General features: G+C 40.4%; 1 protein-coding gene and 1 long non-coding RNA gene across 31 annotated transcripts in view; both read right to left on the reverse strand.

The window, feature by feature from the left end:
* The window catches only part of BCLAF3 (BCLAF1 and THRAP3 family member 3), a 78,202-nt gene that overhangs the window by 5,500 nt on the left and 45,390 nt on the right, over positions 1-27,312 (reverse strand). For 11 of the 30 annotated variants that reach the window (NM_198279.4, XM_047441972.1, XM_047441967.1 and 8 more), the window contains 3 exons: positions 19,146-19,173; positions 17,450-17,539; positions 11,426-11,581 (listed from right to left, as the gene is read on the reverse strand). In NM_198279.4, the coding sequence (NP_938020.2) occupies positions 11,426-11,581; positions 17,450-17,539; positions 19,146-19,173 (274 nt within the window). Of the gene's footprint in view, positions 1-11,425; positions 11,582-17,449; positions 17,540-19,058; positions 19,174-27,312 lie in introns of all 30 variants that reach the window. The other 19 variants (XM_047441965.1, NM_001367774.2, XM_011545476.3 and 16 more) reach the window with 6 other exon arrangements.
* On the reverse strand, positions 5,426-8,635 carry LOC124905256 (uncharacterized). Its single transcript, XR_007068407.1, has 2 exons — positions 7,627-8,635; positions 5,426-6,548 (listed from the first exon to the last, which is right to left on the reverse strand). It is a non-coding gene; the product is annotated as an uncharacterized LOC124905256 (long non-coding RNA).

The raw sequence follows: 27,312 nt of genomic DNA on the forward strand, positions 1-27,312 counted from the left end.
AACTTTAAAAGGAAATTCTAACTACAATAATTCTAAAATAAGATTCAGTTGAAGTATCTTGTTAAATGTGTGATTATTTTGAGTTACATTCACCCTTGACATAGCTTCTTTCATAACCTATCTCCACTTGATCCCTCCACCCTTCCAATGATTTAAAAGCCCCCCCAACCCGGCCTTTTTTTTTTTTTTTTTTTTTTTTTTTTGAGATGGAGTCTCCGTTGCCCAGGCTGGAGTGCAGTGGTGCGATCTTGGCTCACTGCAACCTCTGCCTCCTGGGTTCAAGCAATTCTCCTGCCTCAGCCTTCTGAGTAGCTGGGACTACAGGCACATGCTACCACGCTCAGCTGATTTTTGTATTTTTTGTAGAGACAAGGTTTTACCATGTTGCCCAGGCTGGTCTTGAATCCTGGCCTCAAGTGATCCACCCACCACAGCCTCCCAAAATGCTGGGATTACAGGTGTGAGCCACTGCACCTGGCCATAAAAGCCCATTTTAAGCAGAATGCTGAACTAGATATATGAGCACTTCTTATCTAGGTTTTCATAACATGTCATCTGGGTCACCACACGTTCCCTTGTTGGTCTTCCTGCACCTCATTTCTTCTCCCCAGAACCTCCCCACCCACTGCTAACTACATAGCCATCCTAAAGTACCACTTTCTCCTCAGTCTAGGAAGATGTTCTAGTGCCACCACATCAAACCCTAAATATCCTCCTGCCCAGCTTTTGGGGCCATCTATAATTTGCACACCTCCATTTCTCCCCAACCTCACATCCTCCTGCCAAACATGGGTCTTTGGCTTTAGCCCTTTCTATGTCTTGCTCTTCTCCAGGCCTCAGCTTATAATCTACCTCCTGTAAGAAGAGTGTATCAATGGAAGTACTTAGCATGTATCTCCTGACCATTCCTACCATATTGATTTTCTCTTCCCTTTAGGCATTAACCATCTGTGAAGTTAAGCTCTTAAAAAATATGATTGTTTGCAACCAGCCTGGCCAACATGGTGAAACCCCGCCTCTACTAAAAATACAAAAAAATTAGCTGAGCGTCATAGTGGGTGTCTGTAATCCCAGCTACTTGGGAGGCTGAGGCAGGAGAATCACTTGAACCTGGGAGGCGGAGGTTGCAGTGAGCTGAGATCGTGCCATTGCACTCCAGCCTGGGCAATAACAGTGAAACTCCATTCAAAAACAAAACAAAAATATGGTTGCGTTGGCCAGGTGTGGTGGCTCACACCTGTAATCCCAGCACTTTGGGAGGCTGAGGTGGGCGGATCACTTGAGGCCAGGAGTTTGAGACCAGCCCGGACAACATGGTGAAACCGTATTTCTACCAAAAATACAAAAATTAGCTGGGTGTAGTGGTGCATACCTGTAATCCCAGCTACTCAGGAGGCTAAGACAGGAGAATCGCTTGAGCCTGGGAGGCGGAGGTTGCAGTGAGCTGAGATGGCGCCACTGCACTCCAGCCTGGATGACAGAGTGAGACTTCGTCTCAAAAAAAAAAAAAAAAAAAAAAAGGTTGTACAGAAAAGGGTTAACACAGCAGATCTGACTGCTGTCCTTGGAAAGGCCTGCTTACAAAATGGCCCTTGGCCAGCATCTGGGAACTTAGATTTCAAGAGGGTCCCCACCATTAACTGATGGGTGCTGAAACTGTTTGTGTAAATAAGATGGTTTACGCTGAGCACTCCCTTTCCTCCTGGCAGTCTGGAATTTGGGTATGTGCTTGGCAGGGGACGCCTACATGATCAGCCCCCAGTAGAAACTCTTGGTACTGAGACTCTAGCAAACTTCCCAGGGTGGTAATGTATCGCATGTGTTGTCACAACTCATTGATGAGGAAATTAAGTATGTTCTGTGAGACTCCACTGGGAGAGAACCCTTGGAAACTTGCACCTGGTTTCCTCTGGACTTCGCCCTATATGCCTTTTCCTTTTGCTGATTTTGCTCTCTATTCTTTTATGAGAAAGACTATATGCTAAGTCGTCTGAGTCCTAGCAAAACCTGGGGATGGTCTTAGGGACCCCTGACACAATGGCTTTTGTTCACTAACATTTTAGAGCATATGGATGGATGTGTGTGTGTGTGTGCATGAATAAATTCAACTCCATTCAATAAGCATTTTCTGAAGACTGACTATATGAAAGGTAATAAGGTAAGATAAAAGACTAACGAGGCCAGGTGCAGTGGCTCACACCTGTAGTCCCAGCACTTTGGGAGGCCGAGGTGGGTGGATCGCTTGAGCCCAGGAGTTCGAGACCAGCCTGGCCAACATGGCGAGACCCCGTACCTACAAGAAAATACAAAAATTAGCCGGATGTGGTGGCACACATCTGTAGTCCCAGCTACTTGGGAGGCTGAGGTGGGAGGATCACTTAAGCCCGGGAGGTGGAGGCTGCAGTGAGCTGTGATCACACCATTGCATTCCAGCCTGGGCGACAGAGTGAGACCCTGTCTAAAAAAAAAAAAAAAAAATGCTTAGCGAGGCACCCTCAAGAATTTGATAATCTATTTGGGGAAATACAAAGGCAAATGACAATAATTAGAGACTAAATGAAACACAAGTTATAGTGGGGGCTTTGATATGATTTACAGTGGGTCCTAAAAGGAAAGTAGGGTTTAATAAGAAAAGAATGGGGCTCAGGAGGCTATTTCTAGCTAAGAGAACAGTAGGAACAAAGGTACAAATACATGAAAATACAGTATGCTCCAAAAAGCAGAGAGTCTATGGGGAAATGCAGCTAGTAAGATAGCTTAGGGTTAGACCTGGCTAACAAGTTTGGTCTCTTTTCTTGTAGGCAATAAAATACTTGGAAGGTGTTTGTGCAAGAGGGGTATGATATGATCTGTGTTTCAGGACAATGACTGTGATCAAAGAGACTAAATTAGAATATCACAAGAAGCAATGAAACAAGCGAGAAGACTCCAAAGCTTCCAAAAACAGATCAGGGATACATAAGAATGCAGAATATAGTAAAAGCAGCATTTTCAATTAGCAGGGAAAGGACAAATTTTCAATAAACAGTGTTAAAAAACTATTTATTGGGGAAAAAAGTTAGATCCTGACTTTACACTATATCATAAAAATAAAATAAATTCTAGAGGCCAAGGCAGGCAGATCACTTGATGTCAGGAGTTCAAGACCAGCCTGGCCAACATGGTGAAACCCTGTCTCCACCAAAAATACAAAAATTAGCCAGGAGGGTGGCGCATGCCTGTAGTCCCAGCTACTCGGGAGGCTGAGATAGGAGGATCGCTTGAACTCGGGAGGCGGAGGCTGCAGTGAGCTGAGGTCATGCCACTGCACTCCAGCCTGGACGCCAGAGTGAGACTCCACCTCAAAAAAATAAAAAATTGGCCAGGCGTGGTAGCTCATGCCTAATAAATCCCAGAACTTTGGGAGGTCAAGACAGGCAGATCACCTGAGGTCAGGAGTTCGAGACCAGCCTGGCCAACATGGTGAAATCCCACCTCTACTAAAAACAAAAAAATTAGCTGGGCATGGTAGTGGGTGCCTGTAATCCCAGCTACTCAGGAGGCTGAAGCAGGAGAATCACTTGAATCTGGGAGGTGGAGGTTGCAGTGAGCCGAGATCATGCCATTACACTCCAGCCTGGGCAACAGAGCAAAACTCCGTCTCAGAATAAATAAATAAATAATAAAAATAATAAAATGAATAATAAAATAAATTCTAAATGGATTAAATATTAATATGTTTAAAAGTTAACCATAGGCCGGGAATGGTGGCTCACACCTGTAATCCTAGCCCTTTGGAGGCTGAGGTGGGCGAATCACCTGAGGTCAGGAGTTCGAGACCTGGACAAAATCAAGCTATCAGTGATAGAACATTCAAAATACTTTTTGATAATAGATTAGTACATGATTTGTTTGGCCTAAAATTCAGAGTGAGTCCAGAGAACTGAGTGGCATTCCTATAAATAGAAGTCCCTTCATTCCCATCTATGTAATCATATAAATAGGGTTTCTCAGCACTTATATCTATAAAAAGAAAAAAAATAGAATACTTGAATACTATATTATTCTACTAGCAACAGTATATATGAATACATAAACTAATTAAAAAAATGCATTTGCAGTAAGACTTCTTTTGTTTCATCAATACTTCAACTGTAATATTAACTCAATCCAGAGGAAATATTTAACACTTAATAGTCACAGAAATCTAATAACATTATGCACCAAATAGATTTGGTGATCAACAAAATACTTTTAAAGATAAAATTCTATGGAGGGGCCAGGTGCAGTGGCTCATGCCTGTAATCCCAGCACTTTGGGAGGCTGAGGTGGGCAGATCACTTGAGGTCAGGGGTTCAAGACCAGCCTGGCCAACATGGTGAAACCCCATCTCTACCAAAAAATATAAAAACTTAGCCGGGCATTGTGGCATGCGCCTGTTGTACCAGCTACTTGGGAGGCTGAAGCAGGAGAATTGCTTGAACCCAGGAGGTGGAGGTTGCAGTAAGCCGAGATCGCGCCACTGCACTCCAGCCTGGGTGACAGAGACTCCATCTCAAAAAAAAAAAATTATATGGAGAAAGTGGAATGAAGTCCAAATTCAAGGCAAAAAAAGGAACAATGCAAAATTTCTCACTGTTAAAAGAATTTGTGTATTAAAAAAAATTGATGGTATTAGTTATCGAGTTCCTGTGGTATGTAGGTTCCTCCAAAGAGATTTAAAAATATAATGCAACAGTTTTAAGACTGTCAGTGTTTATAATATGCCAGAAATTGTATCCTATACAATAATTTACGATAAAAATATTAGATAACCTACCAATGTGCAAGAAGGTAGATAACTTTTCAAAACTTTACAGTATGGAGCAAAAAGGTTGAAGACCACTGAAATAATTCATATATCCACAGAGTGGAATAATATGCAGCCATTAAAATGGATGAAACAAATGTAGTAATGAATGAGTGATGGAAATGAGAAGACTTGAAACCATTAAAGTTGGAAAGAGAACTGGGAGAATTAGTAGGACACGTTTCCAGCTTGGCTTGTCTAGCTTTGAGAGCTAGGGGACCTGAGGGAAAACAAGTGGTTGGGGGAGGACAGCAAGTCTGACATAATTTTTAACAGCTTTACTGAGATGTAATCCATAGACTATACAGTTCACCCATTTCAAGTGTATAATTCAGTAGCTTTTTAGTATATTCACAGAGTTGTGCAACCATCAATCACCACAATCAGCTTTAGAATATTTTTCTTCCCCTAAAAAGAAATCCCATACCCATTAGCAATAACCCATACCTGCTCTCAATTTTCCCCTCATCCCCGAGTCACTGGCAACCACTAATTTACTTTATGTCCCTACAGATTTGCCCATTTTGGACGTTTCATATAAACTGAATCATACAATATGTGGTCTTTTGTGTCTGGCTTCTGTCACTTAGCATCATATTTTTAAGGGTCTTTCATGCTGTAGCATGTTTCAATGCAAGTTTGATTATTTATTTATTTATTTTTTTTTTTTTTGAGACAGAATCTCACTCTGTCACCCAGGCTGGAGTCCTGTGATGTGATCTCGTCTCACTGCTACCTCCACCTCCTGGGTTCAAGCAAATCTCATGCCTCAGCCTCCTGAGAAGCTGGGATTGTAGAGATAGGGTTTCACCATGTTGGCCAGGCTGGTCTCGAACTCCTGAGCTCAGGTGATCCGCCTGCCTCGGCCTCCCAAAGCGCTGGGATTACAGGCGTGAGCCACCGCACCCAGCTGCAAGTTTGATTTTAAACATGCTAAATTTGAGGTGCTTTTAGGACATCCATGTGAGGGCATCTGGGAGGCAGCTGACAATCTGGAGGTCTGGAGAGTAGTCAGGGTTGAAGACATCAACAGAGGTGATGGCTGAAATCTTGGGAGGAGGTAAGGGCAATCAAGACAAGAAGGAGGACTGAAAAAAGAGAATAATATCACATCACACTAGGAAATGCTTACATTTTAAAAGAATGCATGGAGGAAGAGAAAACCAAATAAGACAGAGAAGGCAGAGAGGTAGGTAGTGAAACTGGAGCCTCCAGATCCTAAGTGCTTGAAAGTGATGATGCCCTTATGCAACACTTCCTTTGCACCCTGGCACACTTCAGCTCAAGGGACCTGGCAAGTGTATACTAGATTTCTGTTGATTCAGCTAATCTTGGTTCCTGTTCTATTTTCGTACTCCATGACTTTCAAGGTTTCTTTCAACCCCCAAAACCACGAATCCCAGTCTCTAACTTCCTTTCTGCACTGTCATTATGCCCTCTTCTCTCTTCCTTTCCTATCCCTGGACAGAGCTCTGGTAAGCACCACAGCACCTGAGGACTGCTGGAGAATGCTCCTCAGATCTCCGCTGCCTTGGAATTCCTTGCCTTCCTGGCCAAATGCGCAATTACTTACAGTTTTTCAGAGGCAATGTTCCCAGAGGTGACTTCATTAATTCTTACTAGCTTCTTTGTTCCAATCTAGTATATAATCAGACTCTCAGGAGTTTCTGAAAACTTTCTATGGTGAGCAGAGGATGCTTCCTGGGGGTACTTCTGAATGCTAGTGGATTAAAGACAAGCCTTATTCCAGGTAGTAACAGACATTCCTCCCACCCCTTTATCTTCCAGCCCAAGCACAGAATCCAAGAGAAAATAAACACAGTAAAAGGGACTTAGGGTGCCACAATGGAATATGACAAGTACATGATGAATGAGGAAGAATTTCCGTTCTGTACTTTTCTACTACTGCTTGGGAATCTGACTACTTTGTAGGCAGCTGGAGAGCCAATGCAGTTTTAGGGAAGCCACTATCATTCTGGTAAGTGGAAGCAGAGGATGTATTAGGAGCACATCTAGGATCCCCACCACCGCCACCACTCCCCAAAGCTGTTTTTTGTTGGAGGCAGGAAGTGCATGGCATAGGATAGCATAATCACCAGACTGTACTACAGATGAGGAAATGCAAGACCTCCCAGCCATGAGTGATCACTCCAGCATTTCAATATGGCAGGGGAGTGAGGAGTCCAGATAAGATCTGTCTAAATATTCTTGGTGGACTTTAAGGCATATGGGAATAAATAGGTTCATATTCAATTTCAGGCTCAAGAAGGTTCCAGGGCATTTAGATTAATGATGCATCCTTAATGAGTCTAGGTGGTGGTCTAATAACTGCCAAAAGAACGAATTCTCCAGGAGGGCAAAAAGCCAAAGCAGTGCAGGGATGCTGTTCAGACTAAGATTTCTCTCTAAGGAAGAACCTTCAAAGTTCCCTCTGATGCTAAAGCTTGGGATGAAGAGTCATATAAATGGTACCTCACCCAGGAACCCTACTTGAGCAAAAATGTCCCTCATTTAAGGGAAACGGAAAGCAACACTGGAAGAAACCAGAGTCTCCAGGCCTTCACTCTTTTTTTGAAGGCACGAAGGCCTGAGATAAAATGGACTAATAGGTCTAAGCCATCAGTTTATACACATGGAATGGGATTTGTTATGACTGGGACAGCTGAAAGGCCAAGTTAGTCTCAGGTATCTTACTTCAGACCCTGGCACAAACAGAACAGCTTCAATGCCTCATTCCTTTCTCTAAAGGTTAGGAGAGTGGAGCCCAGCTGTTCAGTAGGGTGCTAGTAGTAAGGTACCTGAGTTGATGCTGTACTTGTAGAGCTGGGCTTTGTTCAAACACAAATCTATAAAAATTGTGGCTCTGGCTTGCTTGCAGGCACTGACAGTAGCCAGATTGGAAAACTCCATGTCAAAGTGGCTGCAATAGAAAGATATATGAAGCAGCATCCAGAAGGGTGGGCCTAAGAAAAACAGGTAGTAGACACTGCAAGAATAGTAGACACTAATTTAAAAAAAAATCCAGTGTGTTGAGACACTGCTAATGCAGCCAGATGGCAGTGAAGGGCAACAGGAAGGTGAGGTGGTGACCAGCACTGAAACCTAACTATAACTGCTACACTTTAGATGATGCAAAAAGCCTAGGCCTAAAGATTGGAGACCCGTAGCAGGCTGTAGCTTCTTCTAGGATATACTTCTTATGTCCTATGATGAAGGCCTGATTTCTGATTTCTATTTGCTGTGAAGCGGGGCTGGTGAGCAATGTAGTCTGGAAGAATAGGGTGGTCAGCAGGAATTGGGCAAACTGAGGCAAACAAAAGAATAAAAAAATGGAGCAAGATCCAAGATATATAGAAACTATAAGCTGAAGCAGACAGTCAGGTAAGCATTCAGCAGCCCCAAGTCACTGGAAAAGATGGAGCAAAAATAGAGTTAAGCTAAAACTCCAAGTTTAGCACAGAGCTAACAGAAGACAAACAGAAGACACCATGTACCAGAAACCCAACCTTGCGAATGAAGAGAAGGCCTGCCTCAGCCATTTTCCTTGAGTGAAAATCAATGACTAGCTTCCCTGAAAACAGTCAGGCTGCCATCTGTGACTGGGAACAAATATCTGAAAGGTCTGCTGCAAAGAAACTTGCCACACAAGGCAGGAAGAGAAGCAGCATCTCTACCTAAGTCCTGGCACAGCCTGATGGTGGGGAGATATACGAGACGGGAAAATGATTCCATTGACACTTTTTAAAAAAAGAGATGCGGCCGGGTGCGGTGGCTTACACCTGTAATGCCAGCACTTTGGGAGGCCGAGGCAGGTGGATCACATGAGGTCAGGAGTTCGAGACCAACCTGGCCAACATGGTGAAACCTCACCTCTACTAAAAATACAAAAATTAGCTGGGCGTGGTGGCAGGTGCCTATAATCCCAGCTACTCAGGAGACTGAGGCAGGAGAATCACTGGAACCCGGGAGGCGGAGGTTGCAGTGAGCCGAGATGGTGCCATTGTACTCCAGCCTGGGCAACAAGAATGAAACTCCATCTCAAAAATAAATAAATAAATAAAGAGATGGCTTTCCTAAAACCATGAGTGACACACATGGTGAAATTAGAAATCTTCTAAGGTACTCAGTTAAAACTGGGGTTGTATGTGTGACATAAGATATTCTATTTAACTCTAAAACATAAAAAAAATAAGTTGCCAACTTCATTCTACTCATCCGTCTTTTGAAAAGTGTTAAGATTTACTAAAATCATTAAGCAAGCTCAGTGTAAAGGCTTCATAAGTGTAAGTATTTAAGAAAACATTTATGATTATAAAAGTTATAAAACCACAGTTGGGCTATTCAATAGCAATACCAGAGATACACACATTTCTCAGAAGAAAATATTAGCCTAAAATCATGAACTAAAATGAGCCTACGAATTGACAAACATGCCTCACTTACTGATATAATGCTACTGTTCTCATTTCGTTTTTTTCTCTTCCTGTTCTTTTTTTTTTTAATAGTTGGGGGTCTTGCTATGTTGCCCAGGCTGGCATTGAACTCCTGGGCTCAAGCAATCCTCCCATCTCAGCCTCCCAAGTAGCTGGGACTACAGGCATGTACCACTATGCCCAGCAATTCTCATTTAAAATATAATTATTTTGTAGAAGTTAATTTTATGGCATATTTATGCTGCATTTTCTCTTTCTTTCTTTCTTTTTTTTTTTAATAGGTCTCACTCTGTCACCCAGGCTGGAGTGCAGTTGCATGATCATGGCTCACTGCAGCCCTGACCTCCTAGGCTCAAGTGGTCCTTCCACCTCAGCCTTCCAAGTAGCTGGGACTACAGGCACATACCACCATGCCCAGTTTATTATTTTTAAAAAACTTTTTTGTAGAGGTGGGGTCTTGCTATGTTGCCCAGGCTGGTCTCGAACTCCTGGGCTCAAGCGATCCTCTCTCCTCAGCCTCCCAAAGTGCTGGGACTACAGGCATGAGCCACCACTCCTGGCCTTATGCTGAATTTTCAAATACTAACATGGTTAATTCAAACAAAATCAATCTACAACTAAAAGAGTATGCAATTCCAATTACCAAGTAAAGAAACTTTTTATTAACATTAAGAGTTATCGGCCAGGCGTGGTAGCTCACGCCTGTATTCCCAGCACTTTGGGAGGCCGAGGAGGGTGGATCATCTGAGGTCAGGAGCTCGAGACCAGCCTGGCCTACATGGACAAACCCCGTCTCTACTAAAAATACAAAAATTAGCCAGGCGTAGTGGCAGGCGCCTGTAATACCAGCTACTTGGCAGGCTGAGGCAGGAGAATCACTTGAACCCAGGAGGCGGAGGTTGCACTGAGCTGAGATCGTGCCATTGTACTCCAGCCTGGGGAATAAGAGCAAAACTCTGTCTCAAAAAATTAAAAACTTAAAAAATTTAAAAAAGAGTTATTAACAAGTTTGGGGAGTTAGGAATAAAAACATTAAGCATTAGCATAATGGAATCAACCTCAGTATCAACGGCTGAATGGATAAAGAAAATGCATATATATACAATGGAATACCATTCAGCCTTAAAAAGAAGGAAATCCTGTCATTTATGACAACATGGATTAATCTGAAGGATATTATGTTAAGTGAAATAAGCCAGGTACACAAAGACAAATACCACATAATCTCACCTACACGTGGCATCTAAAAAAAAAGTCAAACTTACAGAAACAGAGTAAAATGGTGGTTACCAGAGGCTGGAGGGATTGAGAAGAAGTTGGTCAAAGCATCAACACAAAATTTCAGTCACACAGGAGGAATACGTTCAAAAGATGTATTATACATCATGGTGACTACAGTTAATTACAATATATTGTACACCTGAAAATTGCTAACAGAGTAGATTTTAAGTGTTCTCAATACAAAAAAATAAGTATGTGAGGTAATGGGTATTTTAAATAGCTTGATTTAGCCATTCCACAATGTATACATACATCAAAACATCATGTTGAACACCATAAATATATATAATTTTTACTTGTCAATTAAAAACATAAATTGCAAAAGAACATATAATGGTGATGATTGCATAGCACTGTGAATGAAATTAGTGTCGCTGAACTGTATGTACTTGATGCTACTTAAAAATGGTTAAAATGGCAAATTTTATATTATACATATTTTACCACAACAAAAAAATATATGAATGGGGAAAAGAGTTAGTGTATTTTGCAATTATGCACCCTTTGTATATATTCAATATATTTTTGGCATTCAGATAATTCACTTTGTATAAGATTAAAATACATCAATTAAAAGCCTTTACCTGAGTTTCCATTTCAAAGATTAACCATACAACAGAAATTCTAAAGTCAAAAGTTCAAACAGCTAACATATGCAAAGTATTCAAGGCATAATGCCTAAAAGCATTTTAAGGTTACACAGCCTCACAACTGTATTACCATTACTCCCTGAAGATCTTATTCAACTATCATGCAACAAGAACATTTAAAAACCCAGGTTGTTTCTTAAAATTAAATGAGAAACCAATTTATCTAATGAACATAGATAATCTAGGAGTTTAAAAGTCACTAAACATTTTTAAATCATTTTAATTCAACTAACCTTCTTTTTTCTCATTAATCTTTCTCTGAACTTATGAGTGATAAATCCCCTTGGGCCAGTGAACCGTAAACGCTGATACTTAGCCTGAATGTACAAGCTCTTCTGTACCAGGCCTGATTTATAATTGGGCTGGCATCTGCCACCTCTAAAGTTGCTCTGTGAAGGAAAAAAAAGGAATTAAATGCTAAAACTACACCTTCCAAGTCTACTTTATTAGTAAACAGATGAGTGGGTGGTTGGGTGCAGTAGCTCACGCCTGTAATCCCAGCACTTTGGGAGACTGAGGCAGAACTCCTCAAGCTGATCGCTTGAGGTCAGGAGTTCGAGACCAGCCTGGCCAACATGGTGAAACCCCGTCTCTACTAAAAATACAAAAATTAGCCAGGCGTGGTGGCAGGCGCCTGTAATCCCAGCTACTCAGGAGGCTAAGGCAGGAGAATTGCTTGAACCTGGGAGGCGGACGTTGCAGCGAGTCACTGTTCTCTATGCTTGAAAAGTACAAAAGAGTGCCACTGCGCTCCAGCCTGGGTGACAGAGTGAGACCCTGTCTCAAACAAAACAAAACAAAAAAACAGATGAAAAACTGTCTGGTACTTGGAGCTGTCCTGGATTCTAGGCCTTATAGATGTTAAAACAGAAAGAGTCAATGATGGTGAGAAAGTAGGTTTCTCTCAAGCTGGCTTCCTAGCTCATTTTATATATCAATATATATATTTTTAATTTTTATTCTTAGCTGGGCATGGTGGCTCATGCCTGTAGTCCCAGCTACTCAGGAGGCTGAGGTGGGAGATAGCTTGAGTCTTGGAGGTAGAGGCTGCAGTAAGCTGTGATTGTGACACCACACTCCAGTCTGGGTGACAGAGCGAGACCCTGTCTCAAAAAAACAAAACAAAACTACATCAAACCAAATTTTTAAAACTGTTAAGTTAAAAGAATTTGAGGGCGGGCACAGTGGCTCACACCTAAATCCCAGCACTTTGGGAGACTGAGGTGGGAGGACTGCTTGAGGCCAGGAGTTCAAGACCAGCCTGGGCAACAGAGTGAGACCCTGTCTCTACAAAAAATAAAAAAAGAAAAGAATTTGAAATTAATTATTGAAATTCATCATGCTAACAAAATAAAATGTTCAGAACCTCTAATGAACTAAAATTATTCTTCTGATTCATAGTGAAATGTATCAAACCCCAATGAGGGGGAAAGATATTAAGTATCAATATCTATTTAAGAATCAAAAACTCTTTTAACTTTATTCCTGTTAATACCTTCAAACAAATCTTTCTTTACCACAAAAGATCCATTACTTAAAAAGAACACTTCCTAGGCTGCATATACTGTCCAGCATTACATTAGACATAAGAGGACAACGAATATTTGTGTGTTTCCCATGTGGTTGATAAGAGAAATGGTCCCTTGTTAATCTACTGCTGGAGGTGGAAGAGGAAAACAGTCCTCAGTTTTGTCAGTCGTGAACCAATCCTCTCCAAATCTTCCCAAACAATTCTCCAAGTCTCCCTCCCTCACTCCCCCATATCACACACTGCTTGTGTCTGCCTGCATTTCCAAGCATCCTCCTAGAATAATCTAAAACAGATGGGAGCAGTGGTGCAAAGGTTCATAGATGGAGTCTATCTCTGCCCTGATAAATCTTAAAAACTTAGCTACTTGCCAACTTACTGGAAGAAGCTGCATTAAGCTCTTGACTATGAAAAGGATTTCTCCCCCAAAATCATTCAATTAAATTCTCCTATAGAAAATAAACATGAAGCCATATGAAGAAAAACCCTGGGCTGAACGAAACTTTTAACAAGACCAGTTCAGCATAACTTGAATATTGGAAGATCTAATTCCAAGAAGTAGAGAGAGATATGGTAGAGAAGGAAAGACTTTGGTGACCCAGCGTCCTCTCTCAGGCATAGTAAACTATAAAACTGTTCTGAACTTATTTAACAAAATTCATACCTAACATTATATGCAAGGTACAAAGACTAAACAGATCCACCTCTTTTCCTTTAGGGGCTGACAATTAGTAGAGATGCTGCGTCTGAGCACTGGAGACATAGCTACTCCTGATTTTGCCAATAGGAGTCTACCAAGATCCAGGAAAAAGGCTCTCCACGCTTGAAAAGCACAAAAGAGCATTTAGTTTGAATGGCACAAGCAGGAAGTCTTATTCTTCCATTTGCCTTACCACTCAAGAGCTAAGAACTCAACCAGTGTTCATTTATCAGGCAGGTACAAGGGTCAGAATGAAAGCTATGAATTCTATACCTTTAAAATAGCAGCCAGTGCATACTAAATTTATTCCCAAATGTGTGTTCTTTTTTTTAATAAAATGAGAATTTTACTCAGAAGATTGATATATAAACTTTATTATCTGCAAATTTGTTCTCATCTTCTCAATTTTCTCAAGTAAAAAGGAAAAGACAACCTAGTTACATGTAAATGTTTCATCACAAAGTTACATGGGAAGAGTTTTGTCTTTAAATCAAATTCTTTCTTTGCTTTTCATAAAAAACATCCCTGAGTCACATTCCAACTACTACATGACCGGGGTCCAATCAAATGGGATGAAACTAATAGTGGCCCCTTTTAGAATGTTTCAGGGAAAGAGTTTACTATTTGTAAATGATTAAGGCTGAAAACAGAAGCTAAAATTACAAAAGCAAACAAAAGCACATTTCGTTTATAGAAAGTTAGGATCTGAATAAATATTTATACATCTTTACAGATACAAGTCAAGATTTTTTTTTTTTTTTTTTTTTTTTGAGATAGAGTTCCACTCTGTCACCCAGGCTGAAGTACAGTAGTGCAATCTGGGCTCACTGCAATCTCCGCCTCCTGAGTTCAAGCGATTCTCCTGCCTCAGCCTCCAGAGTAGCTGGGACTACAGGTACATGCCATCACGCCCAGCTAATTTTTGTATTTTTAGTAGAGACAGGGTTTCACTATGTTGGCCAGGCTGGTCTCGAACTCCTGACCTCAAGTGATCTGCCCGCCTCAGCCTCCCAAAGTGTTGGGATTACAGGCGTGAGCCACCATGCCTGGCCGGATATGAGTCAAGATTTTCTCAACATGAAGAGCTAAACAATAATAACTCCTAAATAAACTATTATAAGGTTGAATACACTATTAACCTCTAAAGAAGTCAATAAAATTGTTTACAAACACTACAATGGCTGCATTAAATAACAACCCTCTTTAAACACTATTTGTTTCCTCTTTGATAATAAAGTTCAGATTAACCAGCAACTAAAGCAATGCCAGGAGGAAAAGAGATTGAGTCTTAGACAGGTAGGGTGTTGCTGGAGCTGCTGTTGCTTTTTAACAAGAAGACAGTTATGAAGTTGTGAAAGGGAAGAACTGGCTGTAGCAAGACCCATAACATCAAAAATATTAAGCTACTAATTTAGTGAAAGCCGAAATGTATGCTAGACAGAACTATGGCTTTAAAAGTATGTCCTAATATATAGACATCTAAATAGAACAAGTACAATGTTTAGGTTCTGTAATAATTGTCAAAGACTTGCCCACAGAAATAGATTTTATTCTTTTTGAAATTTAGTGTTTGGTTGACTTAAGTTCCATCCTCAGAGTACTTAATAACAGGAAACAGATCATGAGCCATATTGGGAAAACAAATGCGCAAATGATGTATTACAACGGAATAGTTAACAAAACTAAGCAGATTCTTCTTTTCACAATTATTTCAGAAGTGGATATGTCAGACATAATGAAGCACATAATTTTACAAAAAAAATTTATGCCAGGCCTATTTTTCAATTATTTTCTTAAGGCTACAGAAAATTTCAGGTAAAACAGAATTATAATGAGACACTAATGTTAAGACTATCTGCACAAACTTGATACATCAGAGCTAATCTTGAGACTGATGTGTTCCATTTCTACATGTCCTCTAAGGTTATTACTATGTCGCTTTGAACTAGTCCAATTCATGTAAAAAGTAAATTTTAGCAAAATATTTCCTTTTTTTTTCTTCTTTTGGGACAGGGTCTCTTCACTGTGTCGCCCAGGCTTGAGGGCCGTGGCACAATCTTGGCTCACTGCAACCTCTGCCTCCCAGGCTGAAGCGATCTTCCCACCTCAGCCTCCTGAGTAGCTGGGACTACAGTACAGGTGCACGCCACCATGCCCAGCTAATTTTTGTATTTTTTGTAGAGACGGGGTTTTGCCATGTTGCCCAGGCTCTTCTCGAACTCCTGACCTCAAGTGATCCACCCGTCTCAGCAACCCAAAGTGTTAGGATTACAGGCGTGAGCTACAGTACCCAGCCAAAAGATTTCCTTTTCTTAGGAAGGATTATTTCTGCCCACTATTTTACTACAAAGAATTGTACACTTCTAAGCATTCATGTAATATTATATAACTTTAAATGATTGGTCAAGAGGTAAAGTTATTACATATATCTTGAAAACATTTTTCTATGAATTTATGTTAAAGTATCTTCCCTTAAGGAAAAAAGGTAACAGAAAATAAATCTTATGATGCTGTTAGAAAAATACTATAATCAACTATATCTGACCAATGAGAACAACATGTAGGAAGCACTTAAATCTGAAAGCCCATCTATGTTGTCTGTAAGTTATGCAGACATCACATTTTCAGTTGATGTGATGCCCCATTACTCAAGAGATCAAAAGATGGTATAAAACATGTATATATTCTACGGCCGTAATTATTTTTAAAAACTTCGTGTCACACATGTAATTTTAGGTACATAAACCATTGGCTAAAAATGTAATCTATTCAATGCCTACAAATTATGTTACTCTCATTGAATAAAATCTTTCGACATCTATAAATTCTGACTCTCAAGAAGCCAATATTAATAGATCACTCAATTAACCTTCTAGTCCATAATTTTAGATAGTTTCTACTACTTTTCTGTTCATACTAACTTCCTCCTAATGAGCTAACTACTCTAACAAGCCTGCCTGCCACTTTTACACAAAAAGCTCACATTCTTTCCTTTATTTAGGGGAGGGAGACAATATGAGTGAAAAATATTAATAAAGTATCTATTACAGGCAAGAAACTGTCAAAATTGATTTTAAAAACACCTCAACTTTTGTGAGCAAGGAGACAGAAATATAATACCTTGGGCCAGGTGCAGTGGCTCAAGCCTGTAATCCCAGCACTTTGGAAGGCCAACGTGGGTGATCCTTGAGGTCAGGCATTTGAGACCAGCCTGGCCAACATGATGAAACCCTGTCTCTACTAAAAATACAAAAATTAGCTGGGCATGGTGGCACACGCCTGTAATCCCAGCTACTTGGGAGGCTGAGGCAGGAGAATAGCTTGAACCTGGGAGGCGGAGGTTACAGTGAGCCAGGATGGCACCACTGCACTCCAGCCTGGGCGACAGAGGGAGACTCCATCTCAAAAAAAAAAAAAAATGAAATATAATACCTTGTACTATAATTCTTACTCCATATATTTGGGGGATGAGGTGTTCTGGATAATCAAACATATTGGTTGATTAAAAATTATCATTCATATCAGATATAGATGTACCAATAATTAGAGTGTGATAAAATATGCTTTAACAAAGCTACCTGGACCAGAATCTTCCTGTGATGATCCAGAACGCCTCTAAGGGTTGTGTGTCCATGGCAGGGTTTTTCAATCTGTGAATCTTGGAGAAAGCTCTACAGCTCTGCACGTGTATCTTAGAGGTAAAGGTGCTGGCTTAAAGGGAGGGTCTGCAGCCTTGCCTGTCTCCCCACCTAGAGTCACTCCACCTGCATCTGTTTTATGTATTTGTGTTTCCATGTAATATTTGGAAAAGGAATCTACTGGTAAAAAAAAAAAAATTGAAAATCAAGTCCTAAGGAAAGGGGTCATCAACAAATTGGTTACAGTTAACTATAAATGTCCAGAAATACTAGTTTATAGCTACCATTTGAAAGCATATTACAAAACAGCTCTTGATTTACTAACACTTAAAACATTGTGTCCAAAGCATAAAACCAAAGCTGGAATTAAATGGAAAACAACACTCAATACCTTAAAAGGTCTTACTCTTGTGTTTCGGTGGTTTCCCTCAACCTCAAATGGTTTGTGAGTAATTATGTCTTTTCTCTGCGTAGTATAATTCTGCACGAAAAAAAGTAGTAGTGTGGGTTAACAGACTTTAAAGTTTACTTTAAAAGCTTGTTTTACCATTAGAAAACACATTTTAAATGTACAGGATTAAGAACACAAAGCAGGGAGCAGGGAGCTTAGCTGTAGAGCACATACACATCTCCTCCTTGACCCATGCTAACTTGACCCTCGACTTTGACTAACATGATCCATGCTAGTTTGTGAGGAGCCAGGATCATTTACGCCTGTAACAAGTATAAAACATACTCGTGTATAACATAATGGGTGAATCTGAGAAAATGGATGATACATCTAGCATTTATTCAGGCAGCTAGGAGAGAAATAAACCCATTACTATCAGGAGTTGCTGAAGGGTTCCTACTGCCTAAGAAGAATACAAATCCTCAACATTGCAGGAGGCAGGTTTTCCTGACTCAGGTAACTGATCTGAGGTGATGCTCTTGCCATGGCTAGAAAAGTACCAGAAATAAAAGAAAGAACTACATTAGTAAGTCTGTAACTATGAAGAACCTAAATCCTCTGGTGGAGACAGAAAAGATGGGGCCCATTCTCAAGATGGTTTCCTTTTTCTAAAATCAACAGTCTTATCACCTTCTATTATTTCCACTTTCTGCAGAGTCTGGCCAGAGGGAGGACTGTACTAGGCAACTGCTGACATGGCTCCCAGTGATCCGACCAATTATTCCTCCCTTCGAGTGTCGGCAGGGCCTAGGAACTTGCTTCTTGCAAAAAGAATATGGTAAAGGATGAGATTTTACTTGTGAAATTAGGTTACCGACTCTGGCTTCCATCTTTCTCGCCATTACTTGCCTGTTCTTATGGAACTAGCTGCCATTTTGTGAGCTGCCCTATAAAAAGGCAAATCTTTAAGACAGAAAGTAGATTAGTGTTGGTTGGGGGTGGCAAAGGGGAGTAACGAAACAGGCATGAGGGTTCATATTGGGTAATGAAAATATTCTAAAACTGGACTGTGGTGATGGTTGCACACTTTGGTTAATTTACTAAAAATCATTAAATTGTACACCTAAAATGGGTGAATTTTATGGTATGTGAATTATGCCTTAATAAATATGTTCCAAGAGATCTTAAGTGTTGTTCCCAAAAAATCTTTTTTGAATTTTTTTCTTTTATTATTATTATATTTTTTTGTAGAGATGAGGTCTAGCCACGTTGCCCAGGCAGGTCTTGAACTCCTGGGCTCAAGCAATCCTCCTGCCTTGGCCTCCCAAAGTGCTAGGATTACAAGCATGAGCCACTGCACCTGGCCCCCCAAAAAATCTTAAGAAAGCTAGATTTATTAGCTTTATTTAATGAATCCAATAAAATCCTACTAAATCAAGTAAGAAATGACCATTTCTTCTGTCATAATAACTTTAAGCATCAACGGAATCTTATAACATATACTTAATGAACAATTACAAACGTGAAAAATATTGGTGATCCCTGCACATTTTGATGTATTGGAGAAGAAGAAATTATAAAAATGCAAATTTTGGAACTGCAATCTTACCATGTAAGGTTTTTCAATACATTTTCTAAAATTTGATTTTATAAAATGTGTGGGTTTTTGGAATCCATCAGTATGAACATTCTTTACCTTTGAAAAACTGGAATTCTGATCATCCCTAATAAGGAAACAGAGAAAATAAGAATATTTTATTAGTATACCTTTTTTTCCAAGAAATAAACAAGAATAATTTTAAAAAGCCCCTTCAGAAACAATTAAAGTAGCACACAAGTGAAATCTCAATGATCTATCACTACTAAAATTACAAATGATAGTCATTAGGGCTAAACCCCTCATTTTCCAACAAATGTTATTTATCTAAGTTGGAGGTTAGCAATGCGGAAAAACACTCCTTGAACCAGGTTCTCAATCTGGGGTCTAAGGACAGGCTTTCTGGGGGCTGTAACCCCCTGAAACCATATGTGAAATGTGTGTTTTGAGGAAAGATAATTACTGCTCTAGAACCTTTGGCAGCACTGCCCCCCTCCCCTTCTTGCTGACAGCTCTTACTGGTGGAAGCACCAATGGCTCATGACCCAGCCCATTCAACAGAGGCAAGGTGTATGACTGGCTCAGGGTCCCCTCACTGGCAGAGCTGAGGCCTCTGATACTGTAGGACCACAGCAGCGAAGGACAGCCTCCTCTCTCCCGTCATCATGAGGTACTGAGGCCACAAAGGGCTCTTCTCAGGCAGCCCTATCTGGGAGGGAGGTCCTTCCCTGGGATCTTCCTCTGATCTCCAAAGCCTCATTTCCACAGCCCTTGGGGATTCCTCTCCGTGTCACATCCTGCATCTCTCTACAATGCTTCTCAGCCCCTTCCTGTGTCTTCTGCAGGCCCACCTTCACTCTTTCCCATGGATTCCCCACTGGCAACAAGATAACTTCCACACTCCTCATCGTGACCCCCCAAAGCCCTTTCTGCTCTGGCCCTTGCTACCTCGCTCCAATCTCCCCAACAGGCACACTGAGCTTCAGGATTTTTTGTTTGCTTGTTTTTGAGACAGAGTCTTGCTGTGTTGCCCAGGCTGGAGTGCAGTGGCACAATCTCGGCTCATTGCAACCTGCACCTCCTGAGTTCAACTGATTCTCCTGCCTCAGCCTTCCGAGTAGCTGGGATTACAGGTGCACGCCATCACACCCCGCTAATTTTTTCTATTTTTAGTAGACACGGGGTTTCACCATGTTGGCCAGCCTGGTCTTGAACTCCTGACCTCAAGTAATCCATCCACCTTGGCCTCCCAAAGTGCTGGGATTATAGGCGTGAGCCACCGTGCCCAGCCAGGAATATTGAAGTACATGTGGTTCCTGGCACAAAGCAATCTCTCCTGCTTCTACACCTTTGCATGTGCAGTTCCTTCTGTGACCATTTCCTTCTACTTAGATTAACTTAAAGATTTAGATCCATTTGTACCTCTTCAAGGAAGAGTTTCCTAAACCCTTCTGAGGTGAACTAGGTACTCCCTGCTATGTGCCCATGTAGCATTTTTAGGTCTTAACACCTATCATTCCGTATTTGTAACTACTGGTGTACCTGTCTGTTTAACGGAACAAGTTGCTATTCCTTCAGAGGAAGCAATGTGGATGATTCGTTTTGTGGCCCCAGCTCTGATCCCAGAATCTGACATGAAATAGACACTCGGGGTTTTTTAAATGTTAAAAAGGCCTATGCTTTGTCAAAATGCTCACGACAGTAGATCAAAAGAGTAAAGTGCAAAGTTGTATATTGAGGATAATTTCAATTATTTAAAATATACACATATGTGCCCAGAAAAAATAAATGACAAGAAATGTACTAAATATTAACAGTGGTCATCTCTGACTGGTAAAATTAGGAATGCCTTATATTTTTGATTTTATACTTTATTATATTTTTCCAAATGATTACCATTAGTGTGTATGACTACTTCTACAAACAAAGCAATGGATTTTTTAAAATTCTCTTTGCAAAGCATATATCTGATGAGGGAGCTGTATCCAGAATATATAAAGAACTCCTACACCTCAACAACAAAAATACTTTGATTTTAAAATGGGCAAAGGATTTGAATAGAAATTTCTCCAAAGACATACCAATGGCCAATAAGCACATAGAAAGATGCTCAACATCATTAGTCATTAGAGAAATGCAAATCAAAACCACAATGAGACACCACTTTACACTAACTAGGATGGCTATAACCAAAAAGATGACAATACCAATATGCATAACATCACTATTTACAATAGCCAAAGGGTGAAAGCAATACAAATGTCCACAGAAAAACAGATAAACAAAATGTAGTACAGCCATACAATGGAATATTATTCAGCCTTAAAAGAGAATGAATTTTTTAAAAAAGGAATGAAATTCTGACACATGATACAACATGAATTGACCCTGAAAACACTATGCTAAGTGAAATAAGCCAGAGACAAAACGACAAATATTGTCTGATTCTACTTATATCAGATACCCACAATAGGCAAATTCATATAGACAGAAAGAATAGAGGTTACCAGGGGCTGCAGAGAGGAGAGCATGAGGAGTTACTGTTCAATGGAAACAGACTTTCTGTTTGTGAAGATGAAAAAGTTCTGGAAGTAGATAGTGGTGGTGATTGTACAACACTGTGAATATACTCAATGTCAATGAATTTTACACTTAAAAATGGTTAAAATGGTAAATTTAGGATATGTATATTTTGCCACAATACAAAAATTAAATCCTTTGATATTTGATTTTTGACCAGGCAAATGAATGCTCAGATTAAAGAATCTATTTCCCAGCTGCCCTGCAGCTAGGCATGGCCATGGGACTAAATTTTGGCCAAGTTATCATGTGTAAATTTCAAGAAGTCTTTATTTTTTATTTATTTATTTATTTTTTTTTTTTTATTATACTTTAAGTTTTAGGGTACATGTGCACATTGTGCAGGTTAGTTACATATGTATACATGTGCCATGCTGGTGCGCTGCACCCACTAACTCATCATCTAGCATTAGGTATATCTCCCAATGCTATCCCTCCCCTAACCCCACCACAGACCCCAGAGTGTGATATTCCCCTTCATGTGTCCATGTGATCTCATTGTTCAATTCCCACCTATGAGTGAGAATATGCGGTGTTTGGTTTTTTGTTCTTGCGATAATTTACTGAGAATGATGATTTCCAATTTCATCCATGTCCCTACAAAGAACATGAACTCATCATTTTTTATGGCTGCATAGTATTCCATGGTGTATATGTGCCACATTTTCTTAATCCAGTCTATCATTGTTGGACATTTGGGTTGGTTCCAAGTCTTTGCTATTGTGAATAATGCCGCAATAAACATACGTGTGCATGTGTCTTTATAGCAGCATGATTTATAGTCCTTTGGGTATATACCCAGTAATGGGTTGGCTGGGTCAAATGGTATTTCTAGTTCTAGATCCCTGAGGAATTGCCACACTGACTTCCACTATGGTTGAACTAGTTTACAGTCCCACCAACAGTGTAAAAGTGTTCCTATTTCTCCACATCCTCTCCAGCACCTGTTGTTTCCTGACTTTTTAATGATTGCCATTCTAACTGGTGTGATATGATATCTCATAGTGGTTTTGATTTGCATTTCTCTGATGGCCAGTGATGATGAGCATTTTTTCATGTGTTTTTTGGCTGCATAAATGTCTTCTTTTGAGAAGTGTCTATTCATGTCCTTTGCCCACTTTTTGATGGGGTTGTTTGTTTTTTTCTTGTAAATTTGTTTGAGTTCATTGTAGATTCTGGATATTAGCCCTTTGTCAGATGAGTAGGTTGCGAAAACTTTCTCCCATGTTGTAGGTTGCCTGTTCACTCTGATGGTAGTTTCTTTTGCTGTGCAGAAGCTCTTTAGTTTAATTAGATCCCATTTGTCAATTTTGGCTTTTGTTGCCATTGCTTTTGGTGTTTTGGACATAAAGTCCTTGCCCATGCCTATGTCCTGAATGGTAATGCCTAGGTTATCTTCTAGGGTTTTTATGGTTTTAGGTCTAACGTTTAAATCTTTAATCCATCTTGAATTGATTTTTGTATAAGGTATAAGGAAGGGATCCAGTTTCAGCTTTCTCCATATGGCTAGCCAGTTTTCCCAGCACCATTTATTAAATAGGGAATCCTTTCCCCATTGCTTGTTTTTCTCGGGTTTGTCAAAGATCAGATAGTTGTAGATATGTGGCGTTATTTCTGAGGGCTCTGTTCTGTTCCATTGATCTGTATCTCTGTTTTGGTACCAGTACCATGCTGTTTTGGTTACTGTAGCCTTGTAGTATAGTTTGAAGTCAGGTAGTGTGATGCCTCCAGCTTTGTTCTTTTAGCTTAGGATTGACTTGGCCATGCGGGCTCTTTTTTGGTTCCATATGAACTTTAAAGTAGTTTTTTCCAATTCTGTGAAGAAAGTCATTGGTAGCTTGATGGGGATGGCATTGAATCTGTAAATTACCTTGGGCAGTATGGCCATTTTCACGATATTGATTCTTCCTACCCATGAGCATGGAATGTTCTTCCATTTGTTTGTATCCTCTTTTATTTCCTTGAGCAGTGGTTTGTAGTTCTCCTTGAAGAGGTCCTTCACATCCCTTGTAAGTTGGATTCCTAGGTATTTTATTCTCTTTGAAGCAATTGTGAATGGGAGTTCACTCATGATTTGGCTCTCTGTTTGTATGTTGCTGGTGTATAAGAATGCTTGTGATTTTTGTACATTGATTTTGTATCCTGAGACTTTGCTGAAGTTGCTTATCAGCTTAAGGAGATTTTGGGCTGAGACAATGGGGTTTTCTAGATATACAATCATGTCGTCTGCAAACAGGGACAATTTGACTTCCTCTTTTCCTAATTGAATACCCTTTATTTCCTTCTCCTGCCTGATTGCCCTGGCCAGAACTTCCAACACTATGTTGAATAGGAGTGGTGAGAGAGGGCATCCCTGTCTTGTGCCAGTTTTCAAAGGGAATGCTTCCAGTTTTTGCCCATTCAGTATGATATTGGCTGTGGGTTTGTCATAGATAGCTCTTATTATTTTGAAATACGTCCCATCAATACCCAATTTATTGAGAGTTTTTAGCATGAAGGGTTGTTGAATTTTGTCAAAGGCTTTTTCTGCATCTATTGAGATAATCATGTGGTTTTTGTCTTTGGCTCTGTTTATATGCTGGATTACATTTATTGATTTGCGTATATTGAACCAGCCTTGCATCCCAGGGATGAAGCCCACTTGATCATGGTGGATAAGCTTTTTGATGTGCTGCTGGATTCGGTTTGCCAGTATTTTATTGAGGATTTTTGCATCAATGTTCATCAAGGATATTGGTCTAAAATTCTCTTTTTTGGTTGTGTCTCTGCCCGGCTTTGGTATCAGAATGATGCTGGCCTCATAAAATGAGTTAGGGAGGATTCCCTCTTTTTCTATTGATTGGAATAGTTTCAGAAGGAATGGTACCAGTTCCTCCTTGTACCTCTGGTAGAATTCGGCTGTGAATCCATCTGGTCCTGGACTCTTTTTGGTTGGTAAACTATTGATTATTGCCACAATTTCAGCTCCTGTTATTGGTCTATTCAGAGATTCAACTTCTTCCTGGTTTAGTCTTGGGAGAGTGTATGTGTCGAGGAATGTATCCATTTCTTCTAGATTTTCTAGTTTATTTGTGTAGAGGTGTTTGTAGTATTCTCTGATGGTAGTTTGTATTTCTGTGGGATCGGTGGTGATATCCCCTTTATCATTTTTTATTGTGTCTATTTGATTCTTCTCTCTTTTTTTCTTTATTAGTCTTGCTAGCGGTCTATCAATTTTGTTGATCCTTTCAAAAAACCAGCTCCTGGATTCATTGATTTTTTGAAGGGTTTTTTGTGTCTCTATTTCCTTCAGTTCTGCTCTGATTTTAGTTATTTCTTGCCTTCTGCTAGCTTTTGAATGTGTTTGCTCTTGCTTTTCTAGTTCTTTTAATTGTGGTGTTAGGGTGTCAATTTTGGATCTTTCCTGCTTTCTCTTGTGGGCATTTAGTGCTATAAATTTCCCTCTACACACTGCTTTGAATGCGTCCCAGAGATTCTGGTATGTGGTGTCTTTGTTCTCGTTGGTTTCAAAGAACATCTTTATTTCTGCCTTCATTTCGTTATGTACCCAGTAGTCATTCAGGAGCAGGTTGTTCAGTTTCCACGTAGTTGAGCGGCTTTGAGTGAGATTCTTAATCCTGAGTTCTAGTTTGATTGCACTGTGGTCTGAGAGAGAGTTTGTTATAATTTCTGTTCTTTTACATTTGCTGAGGAGAGCTTTACTTCCAACTATGTGGTCAATTTTGGAATAGGTGTGGTGTGGTGCTGAAAAAAATGTATATTCTGTTGATTTGGGGTGGAGAGTTCTGTAGATGTCTATTAGGTCTGCTTGGTGCAGAGCTGAGTTCAATTCCTGGGTATCCTTGTTGACTTTCTGTCTCGTTGATCTGTCTAATGTTGACAGTGGGGTGTTAAAGTCTCCCATTATTAATGTGTGGGAGTCTAAGTCTCTTTGTAGGTCACTCAGGACTTGCTTTATGAATCTGGGTGCTCCTGTATTGGGTGCATATATATTTAGGATAGTTAGCGCCTCTTGTTGAATTGATCCCTTTACCATTATGTAATGGCCTTCTTTGTCTCTTTTGATCTTTGTTGGTTTAAAGTCTGTTTTATCAGAGACTAGGATTGCAACCCCTGCCTTTTTTTGTTTTCCATTTGCTTGGTAGATCTTCCTCCATCCTTTTATTTTGAGCCTGTGTGTGTCTCTGCACGTGAGATGGGTTTCCTGAATACAGCACACTGATGGGTCTTGACTCTTTATCCAATTTGCCAGTCTGTGTCTTTTAATTGGAGCATTTAGTCCATTTACATTTAAAGTTAATATTGTTATGTGTGAATTTGATCCTGTCATTATGATGTTAGCTGGTGATTTTGCTCGTTAGTTGATGCAGTTTCTTCCTAGTCTCGATGGTCTTTACATTTTGGCATGATTTTGCAGCGGCTGGTACCGGTTGTTCCTTTCCATGTTTAGCGCTTCCTTCAGGAGCTCTTTTAGGGCAGGCCTGGTGGTGACAAAATCTCTCAGCATTTGCTTGTCTGTAAAGGATTTTATTTCTCCTTCACTTATGAAGCTTAGTTTGGCTGGATATGAAATTCTGGGTGGAAAATTCTTTTCTTTAAGAATGTTGAATATTGGCCCCCACTCTCTTCTGGTTTGTAGGGTTTCTGCTGAGAGATCCGCTGTTAGTCTGATGGGCTTCCCTTTGTGGGTAACCCGACCTTTCTCTCTGGCTGCCCTTAACATTTTTTCCTTCATTTCAACTTTGGTGAATCTGACAATTATGTGTCTTGGAGTTGCTCTTCTCGAGGAGTATCTTTGTGGCGTTCTCTGTATTTCCTGAATCTGAACATTGGCCTGCCTTGCTAGATTGGGGAAGTTCTCCTGGATAATATCCTGCAGAGTGTTTTCCAACTTGGTTCCATTCTCCGCATCACTTTCAGGTACACCAATCAGACGTAGATTTGGTCTTTTCACATAGTCCCATATTTCTTGGAGGCTTTGCTCATTTCTTTTTATTCTTTTTTCTCTAAACTTCCCTTCACGCTTCATTTCATTCATTTCATCTTCCATTGCTGATACCCTTTCTTCCAGTTGATCGCATCGGCTCCTGAGGCTTCTGCATTCTTCACGTAGTTCTCAAGCCTTGGTTTTCAGCTCCATCAGCTCCTTTAAGCAGTTCTCTGTATTGGTTATTCTAGTTATACATCTTCTAATTTTTTTTCAAAGTTTTCAATTTCTTTGCCTTTGGTTTGAATGTCCTCCCGTAGCTCAGAGTAATTTGATCGTCTGAAGCCTTCTTCTCTCAGCTCGTCAAAGTCATTCTCCATCCAGCTTTGTTCCGTTGCTGGTGAGGAACTGCGTTCCTTTGGAGGAGGAGAGGCGCTCTGTGTTTTAGAGTTTCCAGTTTTTCTGTTCTGTTTTTTCCCCATCTTTGTGGTTTTATCTACTTTTGGTCTTTGATGATGGTGATGTACAGGTGGGTTTTCGGTGTGGATGTCCTTTCTGTTTGTTAGTTTTCCTTCTAACAGACAGCACCCTCAGCTGCAGGTCTGTTGGAATACCCTGCCGTGTGAGGTGTCAGTGTGCCCCTGCTGGGGGGTGCCTCTCAGTTAGGCTGCTCGGGGGTCAGGGGTCAGGGACCCACTTGAGGAGGCAGTCTGCCTGTTCTCAGATCTCCAGCTGCGTGCTGGGAGAACCACTGCTCTC

The sequence above is a fragment of the Homo sapiens genome, chromosome X (genome assembly GCF_000001405.40).
Source record: "Homo sapiens chromosome X, GRCh38.p14 Primary Assembly".
NCBI lineage: Eukaryota > Metazoa > Chordata > Mammalia > Primates > Hominidae > Homo > Homo sapiens.